This window comes from Homo sapiens, chromosome 1 (genome assembly GCF_000001405.40).
Source record: "Homo sapiens chromosome 1, GRCh38.p14 Primary Assembly".
Classification (NCBI taxonomy): Eukaryota; Metazoa; Chordata; class Mammalia; order Primates; family Hominidae; genus Homo; species Homo sapiens.
The window spans coordinates 164754147-164767544 of record NC_000001.11 but is presented as its reverse complement, the minus strand read 5'-3'; the positions used below and the strand labels follow the sequence as shown (position 1 = coordinate 164767544).

Here is a 13398-nt window from a genome sequence, read left to right as displayed (position 1 = left end):
AACACGTTCCTGGTACTTAGGAGTAGAGTGCAGTTGGACGCAGAAAGCCATATCCAATCCATATCCTGTCCACTCCTCCTCTCCGGGCCCCGCACATGTATATGCCTCCAGCGCACTCTCTGATAAAATTTCTAGGATAAAAAGGTATTCCTTGTATTCTAAACCAAAGCACTGGCTTTGTGAGCATGAGACCTGTGTGGAACCCCAGGGCCCCTCATGCAGAAGGACCCCGTGTTTGGTTTCATGCTCTGATGACGCCATCTTGAAATACTTAATTTTTGAATGAAGAGTTGACATTTTCCTTTTGTACTGGGACCCACAAATTATATAGTCTGCCCTGCCTCAGAATGTATTGTTTGTATTAAGAACTATTTTGTAAAGAGTGAACAGACATAATTAAAACAGAATAAGCAGGTCACAGTTAAGGCATATTCTCTTTTGCAATAGGTCCAAATGGACCTTGGAATCTAGCTTTATGACACTTCCTGAAAATGTGTTATAGGTTGCAAAGAAAAAAAAAACAGGATAAAAGCTCACACCTGTAATCCCAGCACTTTGGGAGGCTGAGGCGGGCGGATCACGAGGTCGGGAGTTCGAGACCAGCCTGACCAACATCGTGAAACCCCGTCTCTACCAAAAATACAAAAAGATTAGCTGGATATGGTGGTGCGTGCCTGTAATCCCAGCTACTCAAGGAGGCTGAGGCAGGAGAATCGCTTGAACCCGGGAGGCAAAGGTTGCAGTGATCACACTACTGCATTCCAGGCTGGGTGACAGAGCCAGACTCTGTCTCAAAAAAAAAAAAATAAATAAATAAATAAATAAAAGAAAAGGAAAGAAAAGAAAATTTCTGGAATACAACCCATTTGTAAACTGGAAGCCATTGATAAGGAATATAAAACTCTAGAAAAAGCCTTTATTTTTTATCCAAACTTGGAATCAGAGGGCGTGGGATAAGGCCAAGTCTCTGCTTCTCACTAGCTGTGTGACCATGAGCAAGTGTCCTGCTGCTTCTCTCTCAGCATGAGAGTCTTTTATTTATTTCCTCAGGAGCCCTTCCTAGGGCACAATATGTGTAAGGGATGGTACTTGATTGGTGTTCCTCATAGGTAAAGCAGGGGTGATGATGATTAATAACAATAATAATGGAAGTGAGAGAAAATAGAAATAAGAAAATAAAGTGCTCTGGAAACTGTAAAGTGCCAGGCAGATGTTACTCTTCTTAAATCTGTAATGATGACACTTTATGTTTCTACAATCACTGCTCAGTCCAGCTGTTTCTCTCAAGTCTTCCTTCCAGCCTTCCATGCAGCCACATTTAAACTGTCCTTCTAGATTCCCTTCACCCTAGCATATACTAATCTCCCCCTTCTCAGCTTCTGGATTTTGTGCTTGAATGATGTCATACAGTTATTCAGTTTCTGTTGTCACCCAAGTCACAAATTTATTAAATATCATCATGGCCATCAGCTGCTGCATGTACTGCTTTTCTGATTGCCAAATGAGAGTTACCCATCCAAGGGCAGGGACCATATTTTACCCTTCTTTTTTCCCCCAACGGCATTTAGAACTTTGCTAGGGGCATGGTACATGTTCATAAATATTTTTTAATTTATTCAAACAAGGTTAGCAGAGTCAGTGAGGATAGTGCATAAAGCCACCAGCTATGATTTCACATAACAGTATTTTAAGGGGCATTTCACACCCTGACAGAATGAGAGTATCTGACTCACAGTGACACAAGTTTCCATGGTACCCTGGAAACTGGATGGTTTTATAATGAGACAGACCTAAGTTAAATTCCAACTCCTCTGCCTCTTGTTAGCTGTCTGACTCTGGGAGAGTCAGTTCACTTCTCAAAGCCTCAGTTGTTTCTTCATCTGTAAACTGGGGAGAACCACATTTATCTCACAGGATTGCCATCAGGTTTAAATGAGTTAACATGTGTAAAGCAATTAGACTAAAGCTGGGCACACAGAAGGCATCCAGTAAGTGTTAGCTGCCTTCTCTCCTGTGTTTACTAGGTGAAAGTCATTTTGAACAGCTGTTTGCTTTTTCCTGCCTTAAATCTGGCACCAGAAGGGAGCCATTATCGGGAGCCAATCATCTTCATTGATGAAGCCAAGTTCCCTCTTCCTGTTCCAAGTTTCCAAAACAAATGAGAATAGAAATTATTCTGTGTTCTTCAATCAGTAAAATACATTGATGCCCACTCCACTGCACATGTACATGTGCACAATCTCACACATACATGTTATCGCACATATACCAGAAGCAATTTGTTTTTAAAGATAACACTGACTCTTGCTGGGCAGAGACAAAAATCATGGAAGTAGGTAGGGCTACATGTACATCTTTATACTGCTTGCTCTTTTTTGTCAAGACATCACCTCTATATGTTTCTAAAACTGAGGGTTAAATCACTGTCTGTAAACTGTTGACAACCATATATGTGGCCGCTGACAGAAGCAATTAAGCTGGAAAGGTGAGGGTGGAGGAAGGGTATTTTAACCTATAACTATATGGAAACCTGTCCTCCAGTGCTAGAAAATTCCTTCCCAAAGAAGACCAATTCACAGGAGAATTATAATAAAGACAACTTGGCTTATAAAAACCAAACCAAAGTCTTAAATTAGAAGAATATTATCTTTGGAAGTCATTGCAAATGTTCCAACAGAAACTACTGAAACAGTAGCTGCAATAATGGTAAAGATATATGCACACTTCTACATTTCCTATAGGGTTGTGCAAAGGTTTCTTAGATAAGAAACCTACGCATTTCAAGTTATATATATAGATTTGTGGGCCGAAGTTGCCACAAATAATAGTCTTTTTCCATGTAGGTGGGCTATAACTAGACAAATTCCAATAAAATTATAAAGGCAAGATAAGAAAAAGAAAAAATGCAGCTGAAAATGTAACAAAATAAGACAACTAAATTATGAGACTGAACATCTGTGGTCTAAATAAAATATGTGATGGTGCAGGCAGCACCATAAGTTTCTCCTGACATTCTGAAGAGACCAGCAGAGCTCACTTATGAGTAATGTGGTCATCCCCACATTACTGCAACAAAAATATTAGAGCAAGCTACACTGTCAAATATTCTATATGGATTTGTGACCTAAGGAAAATCATATTAAGAGGCTAAAGTGATATACAATGTGAAATATTATACAGATACACAAATACACACAAAATCCTTCCTGTCGTGAACATATAAGTGCTCTATTTTCATCTTATTCTTTAAAAAATACAAATAAATCAAAGATAGCTACTTGCCATCAGTACCTCTGAGGTATGATGTGTGTGTGTATTGTAACTCCTAAAGCCTTTAGGGCAACTGATATAGAAGACAAAGAACTGAGGGAAAACACCCCACTTGCTGAGCTCATTGACAAGAGTTACAGAGCATAAAGTATATGCCCAGGTACTTGGGAATTTGGATTCTTTTTTCCTCCAGAAATAATGTTTTGACAGTAAGAAGCCCTATCTACTGAGGTCATATACGGCATTTAGGTTCCCTGACCACTGGCCACCAAATAACCAAGGAATTGATCCTATAAATCTCCACAATCCTATAAACCATTCTATTAAAGTTTAAGTAGGAAGTAACACCAAGGGGGAATGTGAATTTAGTAGCCTGGAGCACACAGATTAATCTTTATGAATTTATTTCAGAGTTTGTGGTCACTCTTGTCTCCACAGATTGCTCACCATGGCATGATTGGAGTCAGTCCCTTTTCAGTGTTGCTGTTGCTTGGGAAGTACATCACCTCCTCTTTGGATGTGCCTTGCTGCAAATGTGTACAATTACACCCAATACAGCAAACATTTATTAATACGATCAAGATTTGCCTTTGCCCTCAGCCAGATTCTCTAGTATAACATGACACCTATGTTCCAAATCAGATCTAGACAATTAAAATGACTCCTCGGTCTATCTTTCTTGGTTAGGGAAAATCTGTAGGCTGTAGCTAAACCCAAGTGCAGTGACATTTCAGAAACTTGCCCCGTTTCTAAGAGCTGGAACATTTTTACCCAGCTACATGTCCAAGACTCCCTTGTAACTAAATGTAGTCGTAATACTAAGTCCTAACTGATGGGATACAAGTGGTAGTACAAGTATTATGCTAGAAAGTCTTTTTTAAAAGGAATAAGTCTACAGTTATTCTCTGCCCCTTCCTCCATTCTGATGCCTGGAATGCAGATGGAATGGCTGGAGCTCTAGCAGTCAACTTAGATCACGAGGATGACACAGGATCACCTTTTAGGGAAGACTGAGTGAAAACTCAGGAAGGAGCCTAAGTTTTTTGTGGTCTATGGAGCCACTCTGCCAGCCCTGAACTGCTTATATCTTACTTCCTATGTTTTGAAAGGGGGTGGATGTGGTTTCAGCTACTCACATTTGAACCTAATCCTAATACATTCACATTGGACTTGAATTGTGATTTTGACTGTTTAACCTCTCTGGGTTTGTTTTCACATTTGTAAACTAAGAAAAATAAAAGCTATCCCTTTAGAATTATCATGATATCAAAATCGAGATAATATACATGAAAAGTACTTGGTACACTGGAAATTATTATACCAATATTAGTACAGCTGCTATTATTTTTCAGTTTATTACAAATTTCCAAAGAAAAGTAGGTCAATGATTGACAAATGAAAACTAGCTGAAAATAAGAACTCCAATTTCATTATTCTGGCAAGATTTGATATTAGCAGAAAATGAGTTCAAGATAATTAATTGTAAGAAAGTGACCACAGGTTATTAAACATTTCTAATTGTTGTGTTCCTAGAAAATTTGCTACAAAGATGTTCTTTTAACTACTTGAAAAATATGGAATAATAGCATTTCTAACTCCATTTAGGTTCCAAATTGCTCAACGAATATCATTTAGATATCAGAAGCTGAGCCAGAAATCAAGATAGACAGAGACACATGGAGGAATGGACCTACTGCACACTGCAGACCCAGATAACTAATTACCAGGTTGGTTCCAGAAGGTGGGTTATCATAAGCTGATATGAAAATGAAGCACACTTTATATTTTTTAAAGTATGTCAAATTGCTGAAAGACTTGGCTCTATGTTTTAGGTTAATTTTCACTGTTATCTCTAAGGGTAGGTAGGATCACATTTAACATAGTAGGAAAAACAAGTGAGATGCTGGGCTGAGGACTGTTGCAAATTGCATCGGAAAAGAACAGAGTTCCCTAAACTATGCTGCTTCTGCCAACCTGTATTGACCTAGGGCATCAGAGCTCTTACTGTAACATTCCAACACTTTGTCTTTTAAGCTGGCAATTTCTCTGTAGGACACTTTATTCTTCATCTTAATGACTTAAACTTATAGAACCATGGGAGGCTAGGAGATACTATCAATTTATATTCTATTTAACTTTACAAGGGCAGGTCATCAAAATAAGGGTGAAACAATGTTGAGCCCACAGGTGTCACACTGCAAAGCTGGTTTCCAACAGTACGTGAGGAACAAAGTGAAATTAAAAAATATATATATTGATCTTCTTGGAGCGCCCATGTAATCTAATACAATATCAATTAATCTTAGAGAATATAGTTGGTTCATCCCCCCTTCTTTGACATTACTGGTAGATATTTGAATTAGTCACCCTTCTAAGAGTATCTATAGTACTGTATTTGCCCAACACTTAGTGATCATAAATTTGAGGTTGAAGGAAAAAAATCCCTCACACTGATCCAAATAAAGGTATAGCCTGAACTAAATAGCAAGCTTTACAATTTGCTAAAATGACCATAAGAATAATGTCCCAATGGGCCGGGCGCGGTGGCTCACGCCTGTAATCCCAGCACTTTGGGAGGCCGAGACGGGCGGATCATGAGGTCAGGAGATCGAGACCATCCTGGCTAACACGGTGAAACCCCGTCTCTACTAAAAATACAAAAATTAGCCGGGCATGGTGGCGCGCACCTGTAGTCCCAGCTACACGGGAGGCTGAGGCAGGAGAATGGCGTGAACCTGGGAGGCGGAGCTTGCAGTGAGTCGAGATCGCGCCACTGCACTCCAGCCTGGGCGACAGAGCGAAACTCCGTCTCAAAAAAAAAAAAGAATAATGTCCCAATGAAAGACGATGTTTAATGTTTATTTTTTAGAATGTCCAAAAACATACCAAACCCAAAGCCTTTTGGCATGTGTGTACACACACCCTCCTCCACACAAACACATTTAAAATACTACTAGTGTCTAATAAATATGTGCATGTAAGATTATACTCATAAATTTGCATAATTTGCTCTACATGTGTGTTCTATTTTTATATATTGATTTAGTGAGCTGAGCAGACACATCTTACTGTGAGGAAAAATCCTTTTCCCTGACCACCAATGTGTCCCTAAGTAGTGTGATGTGAGGGGACAGTACTTTTAAGGGTATGGAGGAGGGAAGTGGTTTTACTCAAGATTCTTGAATAAATCATGCAGTCACTGCTAAGAATTGATGAGAAATAGACACCAAAAAGAAAAAGATGGGTGGGGGCAGGCAGACAGAGGTTGCTTATACTTTTAGAATACAGCCTTATTCCAAGTGAGAGGAAAGAAAGTATCCAAAAATAACAACAATGATTATACATTTGGCTCCAAACGTGAGTGCAAACCAAGTACTCTAAGGAGCAATCTAATTGGGAAATGTCCGAGGTGAAAAAGAGGCAGTTTGAGAAATTCTTACCCATCAAGCTTTATTGTGTTATTCCAACTAAGCAGAGACAAAAAGACAAATCTCAGCTCCCTACTTTCATTTATAATTGAACCAGGTCCAGAAGGATGAAGCAAGTACCATCTGTAACGCATGCTGCATTAGCAGCCGGGAGAATGAAATATTCAAATTACTCTAGGCCACCTCACATAATGACAGGGCTACAAAAACTGACTTGCAACCACAGACGAGAGAAGAAGAAAAGAAAGTTGTAAAATTTTGTTTTGTTTTTTATTGTTGTTGTTTTGGGGGGCAGGAGTTAACCAAACAAAGTGTTATTCTTAAAGAGAGTGAATATATAACAAAATATGTTTTAAAAAATCCGAAGGAAGGAAGGAGGGAAAGAAGGAGAGAAGGAGGAAGGAAGGGAAGGGAGGGAGGGAGGGAGGAGGGATGGAAGGAGGAAAGGAGGGAGCAAAGAAGGGTGGGAGGGAGGAAGGGAGGGAAATGCCATCCCAAACTTCCTCAACTTGGAAACCTTCCCACTTTAGATACAGGATCCTGTTGTTCTCATATTTTGCTTCATATAAATAAGGGGCACTATTTTGGAGAGGGTGGAGATGGAGCTGCTCATTCTGATTCGGTTAATCAGGGCTGCTGAATGTGTGACATGGTAAGTGGCTCCAGCCCCGAGCAGTAGTCAAGACGGAGTGACAGGCTCCATTTAAGATGTCATTGCACATAATAAAGTGTAAAACTATACTTAAAATAAACGAGATAGAAACAATAAACTTGACTCAGTATTTGAACTTTTACAGACACACGGAGACTGGAGGAGAAAGCACGTGTGGCTGCGTGCTTGGGGACTTTGAAGAGGCCACTACCTCTACAGAGCTTTACAACTGTGGTTTTTAGGGGGATCTAGTCGGGCTCCATGTGGAGGTCAAGCAGTCATATCTTACTGTGTGAACTGGGCATCTGATTAGCTCATGGCCAAAACCTCCTAAGGAGTCAGGAGCACAGGCCATAACCAAGGGCCAGGCCTGGAGGCACAGGTCTTCCCTGAGAGTGCCCCAAAGAGTAATTTTGTACTCCTTACGTGTCCTGACTCCAGAAGTGTCTCCCAGTTCCAGCTCTCCATGTCCCCGATTGTCCACCTGTGCCAGGGTTGCCTCGCTGCAGCTTGGCTTCACCACTTCAGAAGGTTTAACACAATATTGTCAAGGCTGGTTGGCCCCAAATTGGAATGATACTTTCTTTCCCCCTCTAGGCCCTGCAATTACTGTTACATGTAGGGGTGGATTCAATGTCAAAGCAAATGTTTTCCTTATGTTTCTTTCTTTAAAAAAAGAAAAAAGAAATCATAAATGGGAGCTAGCACATGAAGCTCCTGAACCAGCCACCCAGGATTCTGTGTCACCCGGGGTGCAAGGAGTCTTGGCTTCCTTGGGCATTAGATTTAGGGGCCTCCACTCAGAAGGTGACCCACCCCCTGGGAATCTATGTTAATGGCATACATAAGGGCAGAGCTTGGAATGAGCCATTCTTTCCCCTGCAGTCACAGCATGTTACTGGAATGGGGGTTGAGCCAAATAATGATCCTAATCGTTGCCTGTATATTGGTTTCTTCACCCACCTTCCACCCTCACCTGCAAAAAGATTGTTAAGGTACTTGAGAACCGACACTATCCTTTAAAGGCATATTTTTTTAGATAGTAGGATAAACTATATTAAGTAGAAATACATACATTACAGCTGTACAGTGAATTTTTGTATAGTGCATGCAGCCCAGTCTCCAGAAGTGGGATCAAGAGAGTATTATGAGCAGCACACAGAAGCCCCAGCCAAACCCTTTACAGTTACTATCTCCAAGGGTAGCCAGTCTCTTGATTCCTTTAAGCAGAGATTTGTTTTTCCTGCCTTTGCTTGCCTTAATTTTCCCTTACCTTTATCACTCCCACTGGATCCTGGAACTTCCATGCATTTAGTAATTCAGCAAGTATTTAGTGAGTACCTACTATGTGCCAGACACGATGCTAGGTGAGCACAACAGGCACTCAGCTCATGCTATGGAATTGACTAAGTTGAGAGGAAAAGAAAAGGGATTTTAGTTTCCAGCTTCTTGGCTGGAAGGAGCATGAAAGGAGCATGAGGAAAAAAAAAAAAAGTGATCTAACTCTCATACTTTGAAGGGGCCAAGTATACTTTTAGATGGTAATTTGCAGTCTTGTCTTGCCCTTGGCTGGTCACTGGGAAGGATAGGAAAGGTTGTGACGGAGACAGGGTAAGAAGGCAGTGAGGGCAGGCAGCTTCCACCTGAGCATGAACCCGGAAGTCACCTTCCACCCATCCTCTGCTGGGGACCATTAGGCAGGGATGCTCGCATCATCTCTATGTCCTCCACTCTGCAGAGCCAAGATCAATCCCTGGCATCATGGCACATCTAAAACCTGCCTCTTCAGAGTCGGCCTGCAGCTCGCAGTGTCACTTCCCACCAAGCCAGGCTGCAGTCACTCGAGTGGGATTTTTATTAGCTGTAACCCATGACACCATGCACTGATATATTTAAGCAATAATGAAAAGAAAAGGGTGGTTGTCTGAAACAACCATTGAAGTGGTAAAATAATCAACAGTATTTTGTGAACACAACGTTCCGCTCACAGATCTGTGATTCTGTAAGGGATGAAAATAACACAGGTTTCTAGGGGTAGAAGTTGTAGAATCAAGGAGGGAAAATTACTGTGAAACATAAAGTGCTGTAGAAATATGAGGCGGCTGTGGGTAAGGATAAAACTGGGCAAGTAGATGGTTCTGGGTAGGTTTGCTGCCCAACTAAAAATCAGATCCAACACACAGTTCCATCTGTAGGAAAAGTCTAATCACCTCCAATGCCATGAGGTACAATTTTAAATTATAAAACTAAAAGTGTTTTAGTGAAAACACTATAGCATGGGAGTATGTACTTGGTCTTATCAGATCCAAAGGTTCACTTTGACCAGCCCACCAAAGATGAGAACATAGCTTTGGCTGCAGTCTGAATTGGCCTGGTGGTTGATAAAAAGTTTTACTGGGTCAACCCAACCTAATGTGATTGCCTTAATGGAAACATGCTGGGTGACGAAATAGTAACAGCATGATTTAGAGATTAAAAAATAATAATAATAATAGCTGAAATTAGCTTGAAAAAAATGTATTTTAGAAATCCTTTCTTATTCCTTGTCAATACCCAATTGACTGCAGATGGAAAACACTGACTTCATTGGCTAGACATGTTAAAGGGATAATAGAATTTATATGATTAACAAGGTGGACAAGATAACACCTTAAACCTCTTTCAGTATTTTGAAAGCTAAAACATTACTTTGGGGTTGTTACTTAACATTCTTTTAAGGAACCCCTTGATCTTCCCTATCTGGTCAAACTTCAGACAGTAACTGAAAATGTGAATCGTCAGTGAGTTGAATAGATACGACTTCAATATTAGGACCAAATATTATTAGTTTCCAATGGCATTTGCTTAGAAATTTCCAGGTGTTATGTTAATTAGAAAAATTACAATATTTCATGGTTCTTCTCATCAGTACTCTGAAATTGAACTTTACAAGTCATGATCAGCTTTTCAAAAATATCACTATTCCCCATCAGGTTACATCCTTGAACCCCAAAATATTTTTTATATGTCTCCCTTATAAAAACCCAGTTTCCATGGGGGGCAATGATACCTTCTCTCTTGTTCATTGCTATGTCCTCTGCTCTCCTCTTGCAAAAAAAAAATGGGAGGCCCTATAAATATTTGTTGCATCTTTCTCCTGACAAAACAAAAATCCAGAATAGTTTCAGAAATATGACTAAATACCACTTCTACTTCCTCAGCTCCCAACTCCCTTCCCTACAACTCCCAATGCATCACAGAGCTAAGAATGCTGAGTTATTTAATGAGTTGCTTCATAAATACATTTTTTTCTCCTTATCTAGCCTTTATCTGTGACAACTGTTTGAATTGTATATTTGAAGTTTAGAATTTTTGCTATGTTGCTATATTACTACATTAAGCATTCTCCATTCAAACATTATGATAAAGCCTAAATATGTATAGTTACACATATGTATACGGACACCCAGAGTCTACTAAAAACATTATCTTCTATTTGTTTTATAAACACTAAACTTAGTGAGCTAAGAAACATGCCAGATATTCTCAAATCAGTTTTCCTCAAGTAAGTAGATTTTATGGTTTTGGTATTTTCATGATATAGGCTTCCATTCTGAATTACCAAAATTTATGTGATGCCTTTTTCTTCTATGACTACATATGCAATGTTAGCATTCCTTAAGACCTCATAACTAAGTGTACGTTTTTTAAATTGCAACAAAGAAAAAGTAATTATAAATATGATTATAAGCATATGTGTGCAGCATTTCTGTGTACAAACGTGTAAATTATCTCTGAAAAAAACAACTTTTCCAATTTTTAACGTTTCGCAATGCCCAAATTAAAGGATGCTTTTTAAAAATTAAGGTTTCCAACTAAGGCCACTATTTTCCATAAGATTTTAAAGGGGAAAAAAAATCAGACAGCCCTTTTGTGACAAGGACTTGGGTTACATAGGGCAGTGTGAGGAAGGGATGGAGGACTGGTCTTTGTCCCCAGCCATCCTTACGCGGTGCTATTCATATAATATGACAATGATGGCTTACATCAAAAGCTACAGTGCAAATAATCCCCTTCTCCATGCCATCCCAAAGCAAAAGCCAGCCCCTAAAATAAGGGGCAACGTGCCAGCACAGATATTAATTGTATGCCAGCTAGCTCTGTGCAGAGGGGAAAGCAAGGGAAGGGTTTTTTTCTTTCTTTTTTTTTTTTTTTTTCCTGAATCGGGTTTTACAATGAATGTTAACTTGCACCAGGAGGCTACCTTGGGCCCCCAGAGCCTTCTTAAAACCCTGGCACCCTGCCAGGGGAGCTCCAACTTTGCAGCCCAGAGAAAGCCATGTTGGCAGCTTATCAGGAGCCAGGGAGTTACATGGCGCCCTGGGGGTAATAATATTTTCCAGAACGCTCAAGCTAATAGTCCCATGATGGGCGATTGAAAGGACTGCAGGTATGCTCTTCCTTGTCCTCAGCCTTGGAAGTCTCATCCATCTCTGCAAAGTGCCACATCACACTCTGCTGACCTTCATGGCAGAGTTGGGGACACTGTCTTTTGTTTCACTTTACCTCACTGCCGACAGAGTGTTATGTTCAAGCCAAGTCAGGCTTCTACTTATTATCGTGCTTTGAATTCATTTCTTTAAAAAAAAAATGCTGCATATGAACCTAGAGGCATTCTGGCACTGAGCACATTTTTATATCTTCTTTTAAAACAACAACAGAATTATGTATACATAAGTACATTTTAAAAAATAACCACAAGTAAAAGGCTGGGCGCGGTGGCTCATGCCTGTAATCTCAGCACTTTGGGAGGCCAGGGTGGGCGGATCACCTGAGGTCAGGAGTTCAAGACCAGCCTGAACAACATGGAGAAACCTCATCTCTACTAAAAATACAAAATTAGCTGGCCATGGTGGTGCATGGCTCTAATCCCACTCCTTGGGAGGCAGAGGCAGGAGAATCGCTTGAAACCGGGAGGCGGAGGTCAAGATTGTGCCACTGCACTCCAGCCTGGGCAAGAAGGGTGAAAATACCCACAAGTGTAGCAGGATGTCTAGTTCACAGCCTAGATTCTTCCTAGATCAATGAATTGGAATCTTCTGTTGCTTTTCTAGGGTAGCTGGAGAAGCTGACAGTTGACTCACTTTTGTTCTTCCATCAAAGGTCCAAGGAGAGAGGAGTTGTGTGCAGACTCTCAAAATTCATTCTTAGCTCCTTATATTTTAATCTTTAATTTATTTCATCAATATGGCTTTTAATTCTTAGCACCACATTCAATATTATACAGAAATTTGTAGGGCTCTTTTTTTACATTTTATTGATTACAAAGATAAAGACAAAACAAGTTCATTATTTTAAGCTTTTTGATTAAAAGAACACAACACAGTGTCAACTTCTAGGTAAGTTAAACTTCAGAGGAGCTGGAGTACCACCTACAACATACTTAACACAAAAAAATCACGAAGCATATCATGCCCATAAACTGATCTGTATTATCCTCATCTCTCTCTCTCACACACACACACACGCACGCACGTGCACGCACGTACACACACACCCCTCTGTTTTAGAACAATAAACTGAATTTAGTTACCCTGTTGAAAAAAGTAGGGTAACCCCTTCTCCTTACACAGTCACTTTTTCAGTCCCTGCAATGCAACAGCATTGAAACCCACAGACAGGTTGATGCCAGTTTTACGTGTTGAAACAAACCAGTCACTCTTTCTCCCGCTAAGCAGTTAAATTAGAGAGTATTCAATTAATAACAGCTGAATATTCTGTCACATTTAGGAAGATGTATGGTAAGACAAGCGAGTTGTGATGTATCTGACAGAAATGATAAAGGTTCTCCCGACACAGTCTGGCAGATACTTGGCTCCTACTGCGGCTCTTTCTCATGTTCTAAAACGTCAGCAGCACAGACCCAAGATCCAGCACTGGCTTCAAGAAAAGAAACACTCTAAAGTGAACAGGGAAGCCTTTGCCAAGTTCTCAAAAGAAGCCCAGCCTCTGCTTTTTCCCATGAGCACATGGGTCTGAGTTCCCGTCCACACACCAGCCGGGCACATA

General features: G+C 40.2%; 1 protein-coding gene across 11 annotated transcripts in view, besides 2 other annotated features; it reads right to left on the bottom strand.

Moving 5' to 3' along the window:
* The window catches only part of PBX1 (PBX homeobox 1), a 326864-nt gene that overhangs the window by 118503 nt on the left and 194963 nt on the right, over positions 1–13398 (bottom strand). The gene's annotated exons all lie outside the window — the stretch shown is intronic.
* Positions 7256–7755: an enhancer, noted in NCBI's record as "H3K27ac hESC enhancer chr1:164729027-164729526 (GRCh37/hg19 assembly coordinates)". NCBI's record gives its function as "activates a minimal SCP1, AML or CMV promoter by ChIP-STARR-seq in naive H9 embryonic stem cells {active_cell/tissue: H9 hESC(naive)}" and the evidence as "EXISTENCE:reporter gene assay evidence [ECO:0000049][PMID:30033119]".
* Positions 7756–8257: an enhancer, noted in NCBI's record as "H3K27ac hESC enhancer chr1:164728525-164729026 (GRCh37/hg19 assembly coordinates)". NCBI's record gives its function as "activates a minimal SCP1, AML or CMV promoter by ChIP-STARR-seq in naive H9 embryonic stem cells {active_cell/tissue: H9 hESC(naive)}" and the evidence as "EXISTENCE:reporter gene assay evidence [ECO:0000049][PMID:30033119]".